Consider the following 20,535-nt stretch of genomic DNA (forward strand, 5'->3'; position numbering starts at 1 on the left):
CAAATCTGACTGATTTTCAATGTGAAACTAAAATATAAAAACTGTTCTTGGAGTTATTTCTAAACAGAACTAACATCAGAATCGTCTGAATCATCAGAATCATCTATTTCAGAAAACTCAGATTCATCAAATGAATCTTCGGCCAACAACCGTTCGTGAACAATGTTAACATCACACATAGGAATGCTACGTTTTCTAGGATTTGACATTTTCAGCAATCAAAAATTACTATATTTTGTAAATGGAAATACCACTACTAAAAACAGAATGCTGTAAATAGAATGATGTCTTTTGTGTCCAAAATTGATACATTAGAATGATGCAAAAACAATAAGTAAAGTGAGATATTTCAATGCAAAGTTGTCTTAGGGTAAACGCTGCAGCCACAAGCTCGCCAGCAAGTATTCTTGGGGCAAACGGAAAAAGGGTAAATAAGTTGTATCTCCTTCTTCTCCATGGGACTTTTCAGTGCTAATTCTAGTTCCCTAAAAACTTATTAAGACACATAGAAACTCTGAGATACTCAACATGTAATATGAATCCCAATATCCCATTCCCAGTCATTTCAGGAAAATCAAAATCATAGCTGACATTTGCTGAATATGCCTTATGCATCTGAGCTTTTCTAAGCACTTGACCCATATGAAGTACTTTAATCCTTAGAACAAATAGTGAAAAATGCATGAGTATACATATTTTAAAAAACTGTGAGATGTCTCCTGCCTTTCCATGTAATTTATGGCATCCAGCATATGCAGGTTACATGAGCCAGATGTTCATCAACGAATGTATCCACGAATGGCAGGAAAAGGTTTAACACTTCTCAATATGTATTAGTAGAAAAATTTAATAATCATATCATGGGGGAATCATATGGTTCTGTCCACATGTTGCATATGTACTTGCATTTCCCTCCAAATGAGTTGGTCAAATGGGAAAGAGAAAGCATTTAAACAGATGGGACAAAATCAATTGGAAATACTCTTCACCATACAAAGCACACACTATTATGAAGAATCTTAACTCTGTTTTCATAAAATAAATTAAAAATGAAAAGCAAACAAGCTAATGTTGGTGATTTTTTATAAAAGCAATTTCTATGGCATTACAATGTTTTAACAGATTCCATTTAATCAGATGTGCCTTTTAGAACTGACTTATGACAGAATGATCATTACAGTCTGTGATTATGTACTTGGATTGTGGCAAAATCTTGAAATGCTTATTAAATCAATCTTTTAAAAGATAAAATAATATTCAGTATCAATGTAGGATTAAGAATGGTCCGTTGTATGAAGCTTGAACCTTATCAAGCCCAAGGAATTAAAGAAAAAACTTTTTCAAAATTCCACAGCCTCCCACATATTGTAAATGCATGTATTGTGCCTACTTATTAAGCAAATACATGTGACAAAAATCCTAGGACTTACATTTTATTATTACAAATGCATCTGTCTGTGTGTCTGTGTGTGTGTGTATGTAGATTAGGGGAACGGTTGGGTATATAATCATGTGTCATTTAACAACAGAGATATGTCCTGAGGAATGCATCTTTAGGTAATTTTGTCATTGGGTGAATATCATACAGTGTATTTACATGAACTTAGATGGTATAGCCTACTACACACCTAGGCTATATGGCATAGCCTATTGCTCCTAGGCTACAATCCTATACAATATGTAACTATACTGAAAATTGTAGGCAATTGTAATACAATGATAAGTATTTGTGTATCTAAATATATCTAAAATCGAAATGATACCACAAAAAAAATTGTATAAAAGATAAAAAATGGTATACCTGCATGGGGCACTTGCCAGGAATGGAGCTTGCAGGACTGGAAGTTGTTCTGTGCCAGTAAGTGAGTGAATTATGAGTGAATATGGAGACCTAAGCTGTTGCTGTACACTACTATAGACTTTGTAGACACTGTACACTTAGGCTATGCCAAATTCATTTTAAAATTTCTTCAATAATTAACCTTAGCTTACTATAACTTTTTAACTTTATTAGTTTTTAAATTTTTTAACTTTTTGAACTTTTTGTAATAACACTTAGCTTAAAACATAAACACATTGTACAGCTGTACAAAAATATTTTCTTTCTTTATATACTTATTCTAAAGTCTTGTTTCTATTTTCAAAATTTTTTGTTTTACTTTACAAACATTTTGTTAAAAACTAAGACACAACACACACATGAGCCTAGGCTTACACAGAGCCAGGATCATCCATATCACCATCCTCCACAACCACGTCTTAACCCAGAGGAAGGTCTTCAGGGACAAGAACACACATGAAGCTTTTATCTCCTATGATAACAATGACTTCTTCTGGAATTCCTCCTGAAGGACCCACCTGAGACTGTTTTATAGTTAACTTTTGTTAATGAGTAGAAGTACACTCTAAAATGATGATAAAAACTATAGTATAGTAAATATGATAATAAATTATAGTAAATATAACTTTACTACAGTGAATACATAAACCAGAAACATAATCACTTATTATCATTATCAAGTATTATGTACTGTACATAATTACATGTGCTACAATTTTATATGACTGGCAGCACAGTAGGTTTGTTTACACCAGCATCCCCACAAACACATGAGTAATGCATTGAGCTGTGAAGTTAAGATGGCTGTAATATCACCAGGCAATAGAAATCTTTCAGCTTCATTATAATTTTATGGGACCATCGTCATATATGAGGTCTGTTCCTCACCAAAGTATAGTTATGTGGTATATGACTATATGTTTGCTTATGTGTGAGGAAGACAAAAAGAACAAGGCAAATTAATTTTATCTGCCAAAGCTTACGTGTGTTCATGTGATATCACAAAAGCTTCACAACATCAAGGGGTCCATAAGCTGCACTTTCTTAAGTACTGGTTCATTACTATCTAGTTCCCTAAAAAATCAGTTAAAGCATGTAGAGACTTTCATACACTCAGCACATAAGATGAGTCCAAGTAGTCCATTTCCAGCCATTTCAGAAAAATTAAAATCATAGATGACACTGTTGAATGTGTTTTATGTGTCTGTGCTTTTCTAAGCACTTGACTCATACTAATTCATTTAATTCTGACAGTAATGTGAGGTTGGTGTTCTTATTACCCTTCATATTACAGAAGAGAAAACAAACACCCAAAAAGCTTAAAGTATTTATCCAAGATCCCAAAGCTAAAAATGGCAGAACCAGGATTCAAACCCAGACAGTCTGTCTCCACAGCCTTTCCCTAGTGTTCCTCAATGGGGCCCTGTTATGTAGGGTAGTATAATACATGATTGGATGGCACTGACATGCATATTGCAGGACATAGAGCATTCCTCCCCTTTTGCCATTAATTACTACTAGCACCCACTAGGCATCGTGACAACAAGAAGTGGTACCTAACTTCCAGCATTTCCAAACATCTGAGGGTCTATTCACCTACTCACACATTCTCTCTGTTTCTATCCCACCCCTCCACACACACACAAACACATACACAATCCAGTATACATACATGCATTCACATACTCACACACAGCCAAAATTTGAAGTGAAAATTAAAAGTTAACTGAGTTCAAAGTTTTCCTTTCTCTATTCTTTTTTCTTCCTTGTTGCTTTCTTGACAAACATTGCCTTTACTCCATCCTTATATCTAGAGGGCATGGGGAGGAAGAAGAAAAGAAAAGGAAAAGATAATAGAAACACAAAAATTAAAGGTAAAGAGAAAAGGAGGAAGAATAGAAATCAAACAGAAGGCAAAAAAATAGATATCTATAGGAACTATTGAGATAGGAGTTTTCTGCTCCTAAGTCACTGAATGAAGTAAAAGCAATCAGTAAATCAAAACCATTATCTGACTTGCCTTGCCTCAAAACTCATTTATGTATTTCAGAGAACCACTGAATTTCAGAATGGAGCTGGTCCAGCTAATGCTGTAGTCCAAACCCCCACCTAATGGAAGAATACCCCCTACCGTTTCTGTGACAGATGGCCATTCATCCTCTGCCACATGTCATTTACAAGAGCAGGCATATCGTTAACTACTTTTAGAAGAAATACACGTGTCTTTTGTTTAGTACTAATTGTTAGAAAGTCATTCTCATTTAGAACAGAAATCTGCTATGCTCCAGTCTCAGTTCTCTCTTCTGGAACCATACGGAATGAGTTAAACCCTTCTTCCACAGGATATTCCTCTAAAATTTTGAAGTGGTTATTATGTTGCTCCTGAGTCTCCTCCTACCCAAAATAAACATATGCAAAACATATGATCTGCCCTCCAAAAGGTAGTATACCTGGTAGTGTATGGCCAATGTCCTCAAAAGGCCTGTTTCATTTCTTCCCGAGTAGTAAATTTTTTCTTACAGAGCTCAAAGTCAGCACCTCTGGTGTGTATTTGTGTGGGTATGCTCTGTGAACTCTACATATATACATATGTATAAATATGAATATGCACACACAAACGAAGCACACATGGAGTTTGTACATTTGTATATAAATATGTAGACACAAATGTGTATATCCATGTAAAATATGCACATTGCTCCTCTTTCCTTCTCTTTCAAGTGCTCCTTTCTTGTGTGTTTTCAGGCCAGCCCCAATACAACCAGAGCTCACCTATTTTTAGGTTTATTTCATCCCTCTGGAACTGAGTTGGGTGCTTTCAAGTTCTATGTACATTTTTTAGCTTAACCAGGAGTGGATGCTTAACAAACCCTTTTCTCCTGTGTGCCCAGCCCTGAGTATTAATCCTCAGCTTCCAAGAGTAAGAAAAACACTCAAGCACACGGCATCACAAGACCTGAATGCCTCTGAAAGTATGTGATAACAGCAACGAAGTTGAGATCCTGGAATAACCAAACCTGACATTAATCTGAACCCATTTTTCTTTTCCTCTCTTAGTTTGATTTCTAATTAGGTATTGCTTCTGCCTTTTTCTCTGTTTATCACTTACCCATTTCCTACCCTATTTTCAGAGGAGAGAAATAAAAACTTTTCTTTGATATTGAAGGAAATGTCCAAAGGGTCCTGAGTTCAAGTCTCTTTCGTTTCTCTAACTGTAGTCTGAGTTTCACACTTCACTGCCTTTGCAAGCCTCAGATGGAAAGGTTATTTCCAGGTTATGATAACATTATTGGATCCAAAGTCATTGTCATCATTTCATTCCACAGAAAGTTATTTTGCACTTTCCCCTGGGAGCAGGAATTGAATTGGTGGGGAGCAGGGCAGGGGGAGATCTGAAACAGCTTCCAGCTTTTTCAAAAAGATTTTCATTTCATCCCACTTCTTCACAGCACATGAAAAGAGCCCTCAAATGCCCTACATAGCACCTGCTGTCTGCTCCTCCCACAAGACTTCTTTTTCTACTCCTCTCTTCTTCCTTCTCTTTTCTTTGCTATAATGGAGGCCATAAAGAGGACAGGATCATTTCAGGGGGATGGATGAGAAGAGGAAGGAGAGTCAGGATCAGAGGACAGGACCCGTTCTGAGGGCATTCCCAGGGCAGCACCTGGGAGGCTGCAGGGCAGCAGTAAGTTGGATAGGGGTTGCTGCTCGGATGGAGGTTGTCAGGGCCAAGGGTAGGGGACCCAGCACTCATGTTGTTCTGCGTGACAACTTTGCTTAGGCCGAGCCCTACAGAAACTCGCTCAGGTCTTTGTTCTCTTAACTCAAGCTTTGCATATGAATCACTGAAACTTTTAAATGAGTGATTCAGAGAGCAGCTGAAGATTTAATTCAGTTTCTGCCAAAAGAGACCACGGAAGGATTTTTATATCATTACTAATAGATTTTCAAAGGGCAAAGTCCTAACATGCCTGCAGTTGTTAAAGAATGTCTCTTTCTACAAATAAAATCAACAACAAAAATCTCTAGTGCCTTCTTTTTATTCTCGCCTGTAGAATTTCTCCTAATGCTTTTAGATACGGCAATTCCACTTTCTAAAATCCTTTCATGATATCCCCTTCTTTCCACGTTTGTCAGAAATCATTACTCCATATCTGCTTCCCTGTCACCTTTTATCACTCTGTCTCAGGAATGCTGTGGGAGTGTCCACATGCCTTCTTTGTTCTACTGTCACTCATTGTGTTTTCTCCTTGCTTAGAGGCATTGGTTAAAATGCCAGCAGGACTCTCGAAGCTCTCTGAGAAGTCCTTACTCTTGTTCTGAGGTAGCACATTTCTTTCTCCTCTTAACAGCTGATTCCAAACTTTACCAAGTGCATCCAACCCCTACCCACTGTTAAATAAAATTTATAGGAAGTCATTGAGTTGGACTGAGCTCCTGAACTAGGCCCCAACCGACCAAATCAAAATGGAATCACTCGTGCTAAAGTTCCTTGGTACCAAACTAAAAAAGTTGCTTATTTCACCTTTCAGGAAATCAGGAGAGAAAGACCATTGCCAAGTATCCAAACAGGCCAGTTTTAGCTGGTAGAGTCAGGAAACATCCTTTTAACCCTGCAAGGAAAGTAACCTGAAGTAACCTGATGGTAACCCATCTGCTTTTTGTATTATGCTATATGTTTGGTCCTGCTTAGACTGTCCTATAAAAACGAACTGTTCTACCATGCCCATCAGAGCACCTTTTCTAAATTTGTGGAGGAGATACTGCCCCAATTCCTGTTAAATCTTTAAACTAAATTTGTTACAGTGTTGTCTTTTGACATCACTCACCCTCAACTCTTCACTGTTCACCATTAGTCTATCTCGTACTTCTCTGAGAAAATCAGAAGTCACCAGGCCCGAACTCTGAACTTTGCTTTCTTCCACTCATTTTTATCTGTCCTGGAACTGGAACAATTTCAAAACAAAAGGTGTCTCTAATCTTTTTTTACAATTAAATTATAAGCCTGTATTTGTAAACTCATTTCTTGTCTCCTCTGGTGACACACTTTTATCTGATTAGGCCGTATCCACTCTCTTTATAGTATCAAAGCCCTCACCGTCATTCGTAGAAAGAACCCCTGGCACAATCTTGACTCTAGACCTGGAGTCTGGAGCTCCTACCCAACTCTGCTCCAAAAATATCATATTTTATAAAGATTTTCTTCAAACAATACTGTAATTGAAGCCTATAGGCCTTCATTTTAAATGTTATACAACTCAATGATAACATAACAATTTGAATGTAGAGGCAATGGGACGAACTCTAATTTTGAGAGTGGCTTCCATTTAAACGTTTTAAAAGCATTGATGGGTACTTTGCACCTGGGGAACAGAGTAAGAAGGGCATCTGGCTGGGCCCATCCAGGGAGCACACAATGGCCTGCTCTCTTTAACAGCCTAAGGCAGCACTGCACAAACCAGAGAGTCTGCACTGACCTTGTGGAGACCAGAACTGCAGCTCCTTCTTAGGACCAAAGAAGTAGGGACCTCATTTCTTGAGGATCTACAAGCTGTAATAATGGCATCGTCCACTTTTTTCCTGCTTGGAATAGTAAGAAACTAAAACACTGCACTCGTTTTTTGGTCCAGGAATTGTCCTTATTCTTTCCTTAGGTTTTTGTTTTTTAAAAAACAGCTTTATTTAGGTATAATATATACACAATAAAGTGCACATTTCTAGGGTGTACAATTGAATACATTTTGATATTGTGTCCATACCTATGAAAGCATCACCAGGATGAAGACAGTAGACACACCTCCATCCTTAAAGGTTTCTTCATGTCCCTAAATGATAAGAAAACCAATCCATTAACAAATGGATCAAAAATTTGAAGACGTAATTCACCAAAGAATGTAGACAGTTGGCAAATAAGCACAGAAAAATCTGCTCAAAATTGTTAGTCATTAGGGAAATGTAAATTAAAACACAAATAGATACCACTATATACCCACAAAAATGACTACAATTAAAAAGTTAAGTGTTACTGAAAATGTGGGGAAGTGTCAGTGGGAATATGAAATGATACAAGCACTTTGGGGACATTTTGGCAGTTTCTTAAAAGTTAAACACACCTTAGGTTTAGAAACAGAGGGCATAGCTTGTATATTTGTGCCTTACGTGCACTTTAAGAGACTGTGTCTTTAATGAAGACCCACTCTATTAGTAGAAATGATCCCTCTTCCAGTCTTCCCTCTTGATCTAGAAAAATATCTTAAATAGACTAACATGTACAATTAAAGTTCAGATTTTATTCCATGTGTGATTAGACTGTTCAAAAGAAGGGCAATAAATATGTAGCACTTATGTTAATTGGTCTCCCAGCCTGCAGCTTGCTTACTACCAATTTATTCTTCATACACCCACCCGCTCTCTATCCAAAACCCTGAGAGTATCACACTCCAACTTTAAAAAGCTTCTAGCCCTTGAACAGTAAAAATCCAAAATCTTGAACAAATACAACAGAAGCTCAGCCAACAATCTTTACCTCGTTGCTTGCCAATCTACTGTAAAATCTAGTACTATCAAACAAATCTTAATTATCCATTCATATTATTCTCATGCCTTCCTCCCTCAATGTTTTGAGCCTGCTTTTACCTCTGCATAGACTGCTTTTCCTAAATTACCCTCTCCCTATTCATAAGAGGAATTCACACTCAGTCATCACCCCCAGGACACCTTTCCAAACACCCCTCCAAATAAGCTATTCCAGTTTTCTTATTTTAATATTAATATGCTTCTGCTGCTGAACCTGTGAGCCTCAATGTATGGTTGGTGGTCCAACTCTATCAGAATCATTATCTACTCCAGTTAAAATCCAGATTGCTAGGCCCTACAACCAACCTTGAAATCTCTGAGGGGAGAACGTCAGAGTCTATATTTTAACAACACTTCCTCATGAAATGTTTGATGGACACACATATAAATGAAAACAACTACACTAAATTATGGGCTTTGGCTTCTTTATTTTCCCAAAGCTTAGCACAGGGCCTAGTCTAGTATGTGGTCGGTACTCCATAAATATTTTTTAAATATGCACCTAGTTACAAAATCTTCATTTATTTCAAATACAACATATTTAAATTTGAACTTTTCTTTTCTCTCAAACTATCATTTTCCCCCTACCATTCCTGTTTAAGTTACTGAAGTTCTTACAGAGCCACCCTGAGCTATTTTCTCTTTTTATCCCCAAAGCTATAATTAACCAATACTAATAACTCAGTTAATTAAGATTATGAGTTGCCAGTTTTGGGCTCATTGACAATATGTCCTTCAGGAACCTGCTCACTTTCTCCATTTTAATGACTAGCACAGTTCTTTGTCCAAGGAAGATACTCAATTAATGTTTTGCTTTTAAATTTATTAAATTTTTCCTAATTAAACTAAAATATTTTTTAAGTAAAAATTGGCTAGGGACCTGTAAAGTAGTATAGCACAAATGTTGGCTTAGCCTCACTACTCAAAAATCAATGAAAACTGAGGTCTAAACACAATAAATTGTCTTTCAATAATAGGGTTCTTGTTTTTTTAAACTTAGGCTTAACCAATTATGATTTATCACTAATACAGGCAACCCTTTTCAAGAACAAATGTGTAAAGGGTATACTGATTCTCTTGGTCTTAGGAAATAAGGTCATTTGTTAGTCAGCTTCCAAATTTTATTTAAAAAGAGACATACACCAATGTTTAATGACTGCCAGAAGTTGTAACTATTCATCTTCATTGGAAGAATTAGTTAAAATGGAATAATATTTCCATTTGTATTTTTACTCTACCTGTTGATATTGCAATAATGCCTGCCTTTTAGTATATGATTTTAAAACTTTTCTTTCCTTTTATGGATTTGTTTCACAGGATGTTATTATCCAGTTGATTACAACTTGTCTCTTCTCTAAAAAAGAGAAAGAGAGAATTTGGAAAGAAAAAAATCACATTAAAATCCGAAAAAAACAGTAATTAGTATTTACTTGGTTTTCCCATTTAAATTTTCTAATTAGTATCTTCATCCTGTATTGTCTGAAGTCGCAATGAGTTGAAATTAATTATCCATGTGGATATCCAATTTTTCCAACACCATTTATTGAATAAACTACCTTTTCCACTTTATGCATTCTTGGCTGTTTTGTCAAAGAACAACTGATTGTAAACTTGTGGATTTATTTCCGGGCTCTCTGTTCTGTGCCATTGGTCTATGTGGCTGATTTTATGGCAGTATCATATACTTTTTATTGACACAGAGTCTTGCTCTGTCACCCAACCTGGAGAACAGCAGTACAAACTCGGTTCACTGCAACCTCGACCTCTTGAGCTCAAGCTATCCTCCCACCTCTGCCTCCCAAGTAGCTAGGACCATAGAGGTGCACCACGATGCCCTGCTAATTTTTTTATTTTTTGTAGAGATGGGGGTCTCATAATGTTGCCCAGGCTTGTCTCAAGACAGTAGTATACTATTTTGATTGCTATAACTTGGTAGCATATTTTTGAAGTCAGGTACTATGATGCCTCTAGCTTCTTCTTTCTCAAGATTTTTTTGACTATTCGATATCTTTTATGGTTCCATACAAATTTTAGGATTTTTTTTCTATGTCTGTGAAAAACGCCAGAATTTTGATAGACATTTTATTGAATTTATAGATGACTTTGGTTTGTATGAACATTTTAAGAATACTAATTATTTCAATCTGTGAACACAGTATATATTTCCATTTGTTTATGTCTTCCATTTCTTTCATCAATATTTTATAGTTTTCAGTACACAGAGATTTCACCTTCTTAGTTAAAAATGCTTTCATCTCCTTGGTTAAAAAATATTTATTCCTAAGTACTTTTATGCTATTGTAAATAGGCTTGTTTGCTTAATTTCTTTGTGGTTTAAAATCAACTCAATGTTGATTAAAGACCTAAACAGAAGACCTAAAAGTGTAAAACTACTGAAAGTAAACACAGGGAAAAATCTTGACATTGGTCTGAGTGGTGATTATTTGGAACTCCGAAAGCACAGATAACAAAAACAAAAATAGACAAATGACACTGCAGGAAACTAAAAAGTTTCTGCACAGCCAAGAAAACAATCAACAGAGTGAAAAGACAACCTATGGATGACAGACTATATTTGCAAACCATACATCCAATAAGGAGTTAATATCTCAAATATATAACCATGTTTATTGCGCTCCTACTGATTGACAAAGAGCTCAACTCAATATCAAGAAAGCAACTGGATTTAAAAATAGGGAAAAAAAATGAGTAGACCTTTTTCAAAAGAAGACATACAAATGGCCAACAGGCATATTTTTAAAATGCTTAACATCACTAATCAGTAAGGAAGTGCAAATCAAAACCACAATAAGATATCACCTCATACATTTTGGAATGGCTATGATGAAAAAGATATAAGATAACAAGTGTTGGTAAGGATATGGAGAAAGGGGAACACTTGTACACTGATGGTGGGAATGTAAATTAGTACAACCATTATCGAAAACAGTGTGGAGTTTCCTCAAAAAAACTAAAAAATAGAATTACCATATGACCCAGCAATCACACTTCTGGCTATATATCCAGAGGAAATTAAATCAGCACCTTGAAGAGATAGCTGCAGTCTCATGTTCGTTGCACCATTACGCATAATAGCCTAGATATGGAATTCACCTAAGTGTCCATCAACAGATGAATGAATAAAGAAAGTGCAACATACATACATATATATCACACACACACACACACACACACACACACACACACACAAGAATGTTATTTTGCCTCAAAAAAGAAGAAAATCCTATCATTTGCAACACTGTGGATGAACCTGGAGGACGTTACACTAAGTGAAATAAGCCAGGCATAGAAAGACAAATACTGCATGATCTCATTCATATGCGGAAGCTAAAAAATTGAACTCATAGAAGTAGAGAGTAGAATGGTGGTTACTGCGGGTTGGGGGATGGAGAAAGTTGGAAGGTATTGGTCAAAGAATACAAAGTTTCAGTTACGCAGGATTAGTAAGTTCTGGAGAGCTAATGTACAGCCTGATGACCATAGTTGATAATAATATATTGTATACTTGAAACTTGCTAAGAGAGTAGATCTTAAATGTTCTCACCACACACAAAAAAAGATAATTATGTGAGATAATGGAGATCAGCTGCATTGAGGCAATCATACCACAATGTATAAGGCTATCCAAAGTCATGTTGTACACCTTAAATATTTAATATATGTATCATTTTATTAGTCAATTATAGCTCAGTAAAACTGGGGAAAAAGAAATTCAGTGATGCATCCATGGATAATCATTATTCTCTGTAAAATATACATTTAAATTAATTTTCCTTTTACATCTTTCTTTTTACTTAGGAGTGAGTAGTTGAGTAAATATCATAAAATAAAACAGATATTAGTTACTTAGGATATACTCACATAGTCAAGAAATCTTCAAATACCCAGATAAAGTAACTGTAGATGCAAAGCCAGAGAGCTGGAACCGGTGTTTCTAAGATTCTGTACTTCCATCAGGGAGATTTAAGGCTAGATATAAAACAGTGTTTACTGAGCTCCTACTTGATTAACAATGAGGATGATTCAAAGACATTTGCCATGAGAATATAACACAAATATACTTTTCACTCTAACTTTATGCAGATCTGTTTTGCTGAACAGTTTTTGATCTAGTCTGAGAAAATTAAATGTTGAGGATTAAATGAGATACCGTGAAGTGACTAGTGGTAGGCCCTCAGTAAATTCCCAATGAAAGGTTGCTATTAATATGATTATCCTGACAACAACCAAATAGAGTAGAGGGCAAGTCCTCCTACTATTATGCTCGTTTTACAGAAGAAGAAACTAAAATCTGTTTTTAAATGTTTAGTACAAGCTGGAGTCAGACTGATAATTGGAATAACCCCTCCAAATGTCTCCCAAGGATAATTCGTAACTCCAGATTTTCAGATGGATATCATCTCCAACTAAGTATGTACAGATTCTTGAGAAATTTGACCAGCCAAAGGTACCTGCATTCTACGACTTGGGATGACAAGCCAGGCTCCCTAACTGTGGGGTACCTCAAATAACCAACCCACTTACGTATTTAGTTTCCTGCTGGTAACATGGAAATTAATACAACTAAAATTTTAGAAGCACCGTCATTTACCAATATACAAATGTCATGTGTTGGGCAATATGTGTGTTGATGAAAAGGTAGAATTTCCTAATATCCTTTTTTTTCTATTCCTTTTACCTATGCAATTCATTGATCTGAGATGTGAAACAGCATGTGTGTCGGAAAAGAGAAAAAAAAGGAGAAAGATGTACAGCTATGAGGGCCACAGAAATTATTACTGAGTGCCTGAAGACACATAGTGTTGAATTAGTGGTATGGCTTATAACCAACTTCTACCATCATCACAGATTATCATAAACTCACAAGGGAAAAGACCAAGAAGAGGCTGGGAAGAGAACCTTACACAAGCTTTTCCATGTGTGACACATCCATAGTCATATGGCTATTAGTGGCCAAGTCAGTACTTTAGACCAGGTCTGACAACAAATCTACTCCTCCATTTCTAGGATATTTAATCAATGTTTCCTTACTCTCCTACCCACTCTTCACATTTCATTCTGAATTGTATGTCAAATAGACCGAAGACTAAGCCAGAGTTAATGTGTTGCTTTACCCATGATAGATAAGCCAAGATTCCCTTTTAATTTTCTTAACATGTTGCTCTCCTGTTGCAAGTAATTTGTGTTTTGATTCGCAAGGACAAACCAGAGAGGGATAAAAAGAAATCAGTACTCTTTGATAAAATTTATATGGAAACAAGAATATATTTCAAGCAGTGTTTTAAACTGCCAAGCATAGAATATAACAAGTGTTGACTTTCCTAAAAGACATTTGAGTAATTCCAACTGCCATTTGGGGTGGGATGGTGGCTGGACAAGATTGAATCATGCAGAGTAAAATAATTTTAAAGTATTCTATTTTCATGTTTAAAACAATATTGTAATGCAAACCATTTATCCATGATGCTAAAAAAAATTCTCACTTTATTTTCGAATGTGGATGCTAAAGATGTGTGCTATGTTTTTTGCTGGTGGCGTTCTTTTTTTATTATTATTATTATTATACTGGTGGCGTTCTACTGAGGGGAGTTTTAAGGTTGTTAGGGGCAGAGACAATGTCACCTACTTCATGTTTTGGGCATGTAGGGAGTTCTCAGTGAACAATGGTCTTGTTAAATCTATAATTAGAGGAAATAAGAATGGCAAGAATAAAATAAAATACTCAGATTTGTTTCTTCCCCATTGCCAGAATCATGTTAGTCACTAGTTTTCTACTTGTTTTTTTGGGAAGAGCTGGTACATTGCCTCCCACATGCATCCGACACTCCTATTACAGCAAAGTATTAGCAACAATATGAATGGCTAACATTTAAAGAGTACCTTCAATATAACAATAACTTTAACCATTTTTAAATATTCTCACATTAATCTGCAAAGCAGAATTTTTTTTTATTGCTCAGTAACCACATAAAATTAACTAGCCTGCAAGATCATACAGCTAGAGAGCAGTATTGTGTGATATTGAAGCACACGGACTACAGTCGTGTATTCAAGACCCAACCCCTCCAATCTCTACCAGAAGTTGCTTTACCTCTCTAAGGTTTCATTTGCTGACTACAAAATACATATTGTAATTTACTCCTTCACATTAGATTCTTGTGAGGATTGAGTGAGATAGTCAATGGAAAGAACTTAGCAAAGTGCTTGAGATATATATATGAATTTGGAATCTCTCCTTCCCCTCCCAAGTCATTGGGAACATAAGTTTACCTCAAAGCATGGAAGCTAGACCCTCCCCACACTAGAGTAATGAACAGCAGTGTTGTCCACAAATCACTCAGAGTTCCTCAGAGAGAAGGACAGTGGTCCCGAGAAGTGCTTCTCAAACTCTATGGACAATCTTTACAACTGGCAATGTCAAAATGTGTATTCTGATTTAGTTGTTATGGGAATGCATAGATTTTATTAGACTGTACTTTAGACAGGGAAGGAATGTCACACAAGTTGTAGACTGTATTGGCCAGGATTTTTCAGAGAAACAGAACCAATAGGATTCATAGAGGTAGATAAGTGAGTTGCAGTTTATTACAGGAATTGGCTCATGTGGTTATGGAGACTGAGAAACCTCAGTCCAGGCCACCTGCAAGCTGGAGAACCAGGAAAGCCAGTAACATGGCACATTCTGAGTCCAAAGGCCTGAGAACCAGGGAAGCCAATAACATCACTCTCAGTCTGAGGTCAAAAGCCTGAGAACCTAGTGAGGGATGTGGAGGTTGTGGGGGCAGACTGGTACAAGCCCCAGAGGCCAAAGCCAGAGAATCTAAAGTTCTAGTCCAAAGGCAGAAGAAGAAAGATGTCCCAGCTCACTAACAGAGACAGAATCCACCTTTCCTCTGCCTTTTTTTCTATCTGGGCCCTCAACCAATTAGTGGTGCCTGCCCACATTGGGTGAGGGCATCTCCTCCCCACTCAGTGCACTGAGTCAAATGCCAATCTCTTCTGGAAACACCCTCACAGATATACCTAAAAATAATGCTTTACTGGTTCTCTGGGTGTTCCTTAGCCCAGTCAAGTAGACACCTAAAATTAAATGTCTCATAGGCAATGTTCAAAAACCAAAAACAAACAAACAAAAAATTGAGACTTTTTTTCTAGACCAGTGTTTCTCAACTTTAGCTGCACATTTGAAAGACCTGGGAAGCTTTGTAAAAAAAAAAAAAAAAAAAAAAATATATATATATATATATATATATATATATATATATATATATATTTAATACAATATCAGCCCAAATGTCATCTCCACCTCCTCTCTCATCAATTGACCAGAGTTTTGGGGATCTTGTTTCAAGTGGTTCTAATGAAAAGCCTGTGGCGGAACTGCTACCCTACCAGTCAACCAGCATCACTCAAAATCTGGTCCAAGTCCTGGTGTGGTCCTGAAACTGTTGCTTGCTGGTTTAAGACGAGATAAGTACTGAAACTGAGAGTAAGTGTATCTTAATCTGTTCAGGCTACTATAGAAGAATAACATAGACTAAGTGACTCATAAACAACAGAAACTTATTTCTCACAGTTCTAGAGACTGAGAAGTCAGAAATCAAGGCACCAGCAGATTCGTTGACTGGTGAAGGCCCATTTCCTGGTTCATAGATGGCACCTTCTCATTATGTCTTCACTTTGTGGAATGGCAAGGCAATAGGGCCTCTTTTTTAAGGGTGCTGATCCCATTCATGAGGGCTCTATCCTTATAATGAAATCACCTTCAAAAGCCCTACCTCCTAATACTATCACATTTATGATTAGGTTTCAACATATGAATTTTGGGTGGACATAAACATTCAGACCATAACAAAGTGTTTAGAAACTTTTATAGCAGTATGACAAATTAAGTTTATTTGTAATCAAATGTAATAATAAAAACAGATGGATTAGTGAAAAAAAAATAGTTGGCTTACAAAGAAATACATTGAAACCCCTTGAATGAATGATCTAAATAATTAAACATATACATCTCTGGAAGTGAGGATATACCAGGCCCCTTCTTTAAGCTGTTATGTCTTAAAGCTGAAATGTTAACTTCAGTGATAAATTCCTCAGGCAGAGCATTGGCACCTGGCTACAACAGGGTTAATGAGCAGGAGTAGGGTAGGTGGGGTCACAAACCAGGAACACATGCCCTCCAAGTTAGATAGCTTTTTTTCCTCTTTAATTGCCGTTTAAACACACATGCTCTCACATAACACAGAAGGTGAGAGCTGAATGAAGTTTTCTGGGTAATGGCATGAAATGTTTTCCTTATGAGAAGTGGTGTTGAGTTACAGCGTGCAGACGGAGAACGGGGAGGAGAGAAACGGCAGTCTCAATCTGGCCCCCACCTTTTCTTGGGCTTGTAGGAAGGTGGACATGGGCTCCCGGAGACAAGACAAGTGATATGTTGAACTGTTCGGTGGCTGGAATCAACTGCTCCTGGAGTGACCTAAGGCCAGTGTTTATCAGAACTTAGCCAGGGCCAGCCAAGCAGGCACAGATGCTCTGCTATGAAATGCCACGCAGGCAGAGACTGACAAGCGGTAGGAACTGAGCTTTCCCCTTGGACTGCTGCTTCCTGCTGTGTTCAGGGGAGGGGGTCACTTTCTGGCAACTCTGCTGCTGCTGCTGCTGCTGCTGCTACTTCAGCTTCCTCTCCACTCAAGGTAAGCAGGCTAAGGGAGGGCAGGCTGCTAGGGAAAGCTTTGTACCATGAACAGGATCCGAAAGTTTTTCCGAGGAAGTGGGCGAGTCTTGGCATTTATCTTTGTAGCTTCTGTCATCTGGCTCCTCTTTGACATGGCAGCTCTCCGCCTCTCATTCAGTGAGATCAACACTCGGGTCATCAAGGAAGACATTGTGAGGAGGGAGCGGATAGGATTCAGAGTTCAGCCAGACCAAGGAAAAATTTTTTACAGCAGCATAAAAGAGATGAAACCTCCCCTAAGGGGACATGGGAAAGGGGCATGGGGCAAAGAGAATGTTAGAAAAACTGAGGAGAGTGTGCTCAAGGTTGAGGTGGACTTGGACCAAACCCAGAGGGAAAGAAAAATGCAGAATGCCCTGGGAAGGGGCAAGGTTGTGCCGTTGTGGCATCCTGCACATCTGCAGACCCTCCCTGTGACTCCTAACAAGCAGAAGACAGACGGGAGAGGCACCAAACCTGAAGCCTCCTCTCACCAGGGGACACCAAAGCAAACGACAGCTCAGGGGGCTCCAAAGACCTCATTCATAGCAGCAAAAGGAACTCAGGTAGTCAAAATATCAGTACACATGGGACGTGTCAGTTTAAAACAGGAGCCCCGGAAGAGTCATAGTCCCAGCAGTGACACATCAAAACTAGCAGCTGAAAGGGACTTGAATGTGACCATCAGTCTTAGTACTGATAGACCAAAGCAGCGATCACAGGCAGTAGCAAACGAGAGGGCACACCCTGCCAGCACAGCAGTGCCGAAGTCTGGGGAAGCCATGGCCTTAAACAAAACTAAGACTCAGAGCAAAGAAGTCAATGCAAATAAACACAAAGCCAATACGAGTCTTCCTTTTCCTAAGTTCACTGTCAATTCAAATCGCTTAAGGAAGCAATCTATTAATGAGACACCTTTGGGAAGTTTGTCAAAGGATGATGGAGCTAGAGGGGCTCATGGGAAGAAACTCAATTTCTCTGAAAGCCATCTTGTGATTATAACCAAAGAGGAAGAGCAAAAGGCAGACCCCAAAGAGGTCTCTAATTCTAAAACCAAAACAATATTTCCTAAAGTATTGGGTAAAAGCCAAAGTAAACACATTTCCAGGAATAGAAGTGAGATGTCTTCCTCTTCACTTGCTCCACATAGAGTGCCACTGTCCCAAACTAACCATGCTTTAACTGGAGGGCTAGAGCCAGCAAAAATCAACATAACTGCCAAAGCCCCCTCTACAGAATACAACCAGAGTCATATAAAAGCCCTTTTACCTGAAGACAGTGGAACGCACCAGGTGTTAAGAATTGATGTGACACTTTCTCCAAGGGACCCCAAAGCTCCAGGGCAGTTTGGGCGTCCTGTAGTTGTCCCCCATGGAAAGGAGAAGGAGGCAGAAAGAAGATGGAAAGAAGGAAACTTCAATGTCTACCTTAGCGATTTGATCCCAGTGGATAGAGCCATTGAAGACACCAGACCTGCTGGGTAAGACCTATTTCTCTTCTCTTTCCTCAACCCCAAGTGCTTTGGCTGTTATGTAAAGAGGATTTATTGCTAGATAATTCTGTGTGATTTTTGGTCACCTAGAGAATTAAAGAAACATTAATCATTGGATATCATTCAAATATTTCACCAGCTACAGAGACAAAAATTCTCTTATTAGCAGTTGCAGAGTTCTTGTTCTCTGAGACTTTGGTCCCTACCATTAGCTCATGTTCAATTTTCTTCCCTCTGTTGAAAACCTATTAAAATGATTAGATGAACTCAGTTCATAATAACGTGTATATAAATGGTAGAGCTTAAAGTGTAATTCCATTAGAATAGTGACAATGAAGTGAATTCCCAATTTTGGAACTTTTCATTATTAGCAAGTTTGTCAGGAATATATTTGGGAAAGAAGCACACAGAAGGACTCTTCTAGGCCTCCCTGGAATCATATCTTAACCAGCAGAATTCTGCCTAATCATAAGTAATGATAAGCAGGATAGCAAGAGAAGTGACTTTACTCCCTAAAATTTAATCTCCTTTATAGGTGGAGATGGTAGATATTTCAGGAGATCAGTTACATAGGAATCATAATGTTGGAAAAAGTCAATCAGTCCATGACCAGCAAACACCTACAGGAGGTATAAAAAGCATAATAATAATCACTTATATTTGTAGACATTCACTATTTACAAAGAGCCTGCATACACATAGATGAACTCCATATGAGCCCTGCAAAGGAGGAGGCAGTCATTATGGTTCAAATTAACAAGCTGGCGAGGGCGCTCAGAAGTTACAACACTTTCTCAAGGTAATGCAGTTCTAAAGCTGCCCAATGGGCCTTCAGTAACCAGTCCTTCAAAAAGTTAAATTCCTATAACTATATCACCAGATGTGGATCAAAACATAGATATTTAATCTGATTCAAATATAATTGGGTTCCTGGCATTTTTTTTCTTGGCCCACTGATAAGTGAAGGTACTCAACAGCCGTATGTTCAATATCTGTTAACTCAGTTCCCTAAGTCAAACAATATTTGCCAGGAAGTTGGATTGGGGAATGTCAAGATTGAGACTTAGCACATGTGGCATGTAAACAATGGCCTTGTTTGGCTTCTGTAGAAAATTCTTCTTTGTGATCTAGGTAGTCAGCATTACATTTTAGTCAGTGTTACTAGGAGGAAGGCAGATACAGGAGAAGCTTTATCCACATTAGAAAGAAGAGTCTCTTCATTGTGATGTCGGCTACAACCAGGTCGTTTTCCATCTCTTAGCCATCAGCAAACAGCTATCAGCCATGCACTGCTTATACCAAGCACTGTGCCATTCACGCTTCTCACCCTGGTGATAATCACAGTCTTGAGGAGAATGCAGACATACTCAAAGATGAGGAAACTGAGGCCCTGGGATGCTAGATTGCCTGTGGTCACAAAGCTAGTCATTGTAGAGAAATGATTAAAATTCATGCTCAAAATTATTCTGCACTCTCTTCCATCTCTTGCCAATCTCCCCTCAAAAAGGATCCTAAAAATTGTGTTGGCCCAGCTCTAATCTAAAGTCCTGTGTATCACAGGATTACACATGCCAGCTTTGAACACAAAGTGCAAGGAAATGAAGTAGCCGTTAAAGCAGTTTCATTTTAACATGCCCTTATTGACCTGGCAGGCTGCTAGGGAGTCTGGGGAGGAATTAGACACTGCACAGAAGCACAAGCTCCAGTTCCAAACCAGAGAAAAGGCACATGCGTGGCGGGGGTGGGGGTGCTCAAAGCAAGTAATAACGATGTTATCACTAGTGTGGCTCATTGAAAGCTCGGGGACTCCCAGTGCTTCTTAGTTTCTATACTTTGTTCTGTAGAAGTTAAGCATTGCAGCCCAGGAAAGTTACAGTCAGGCTCTGTCTT

The 20,535-nt window shown here is 37.9% G+C and overlaps 1 protein-coding gene across 6 annotated transcripts in view, besides 2 other annotated features; it reads left to right on the plus strand.

The window, feature by feature from the left end:
• Nucleotides 5,058-6,257: an enhancer, noted in NCBI's record as "P300/CBP strongly-dependent group 1 enhancer chr2:158102473-158103672 (GRCh37/hg19 assembly coordinates)". NCBI's record gives its function as "activates an origin of replication core promoter dependent on BRD2, BRD4, P300/CBP, MED14 and CDK7 cofactors, with strong dependence on P300/CBP, by STARR-seq in HCT116 cells {active_cell/tissue: HCT116}" and the evidence as "EXISTENCE:reporter gene assay evidence [ECO:0000049][PMID:35650434]".
• Nucleotides 5,632-5,721: a silencer, noted in NCBI's record as "silent region_12023". NCBI's record gives its function as "represses an Ori minimal core promoter by ATAC-STARR-seq in GM12878 lymphoblastoid cells {active_cell/tissue: GM12878}" and the evidence as "EXISTENCE:reporter gene assay evidence [ECO:0000049][PMID:35858748]".
• The window catches only part of GALNT5 (polypeptide N-acetylgalactosaminyltransferase 5), a 60,787-nt gene continuing 57,053 nt past the window's right edge, over nt 16,802-20,535 (plus strand). For 5 of the 6 annotated variants that reach the window (XR_007068940.1, NM_001329868.2, NM_014568.3 and 2 more), the window contains exon 1: nt 16,802-18,633. Coding sequence is in view for 3 of the 6 variants with exons in the window: in NM_014568.3 (NP_055383.1) it covers nt 17,180-18,633 (1,454 nt within the window). In the remaining 3 variants the exon portion in view is untranslated. The remainder of the gene's footprint in view (nt 18,634-20,535) is intronic. The other variant, XM_047443070.1, reaches the window with a different exon arrangement.

The sequence above is a fragment of the Homo sapiens genome, chromosome 2 (genome assembly GCF_000001405.40).
Source record: "Homo sapiens chromosome 2, GRCh38.p14 Primary Assembly".
Lineage (NCBI taxonomy): Eukaryota > Metazoa > Chordata > Mammalia > Primates > Hominidae > Homo > Homo sapiens.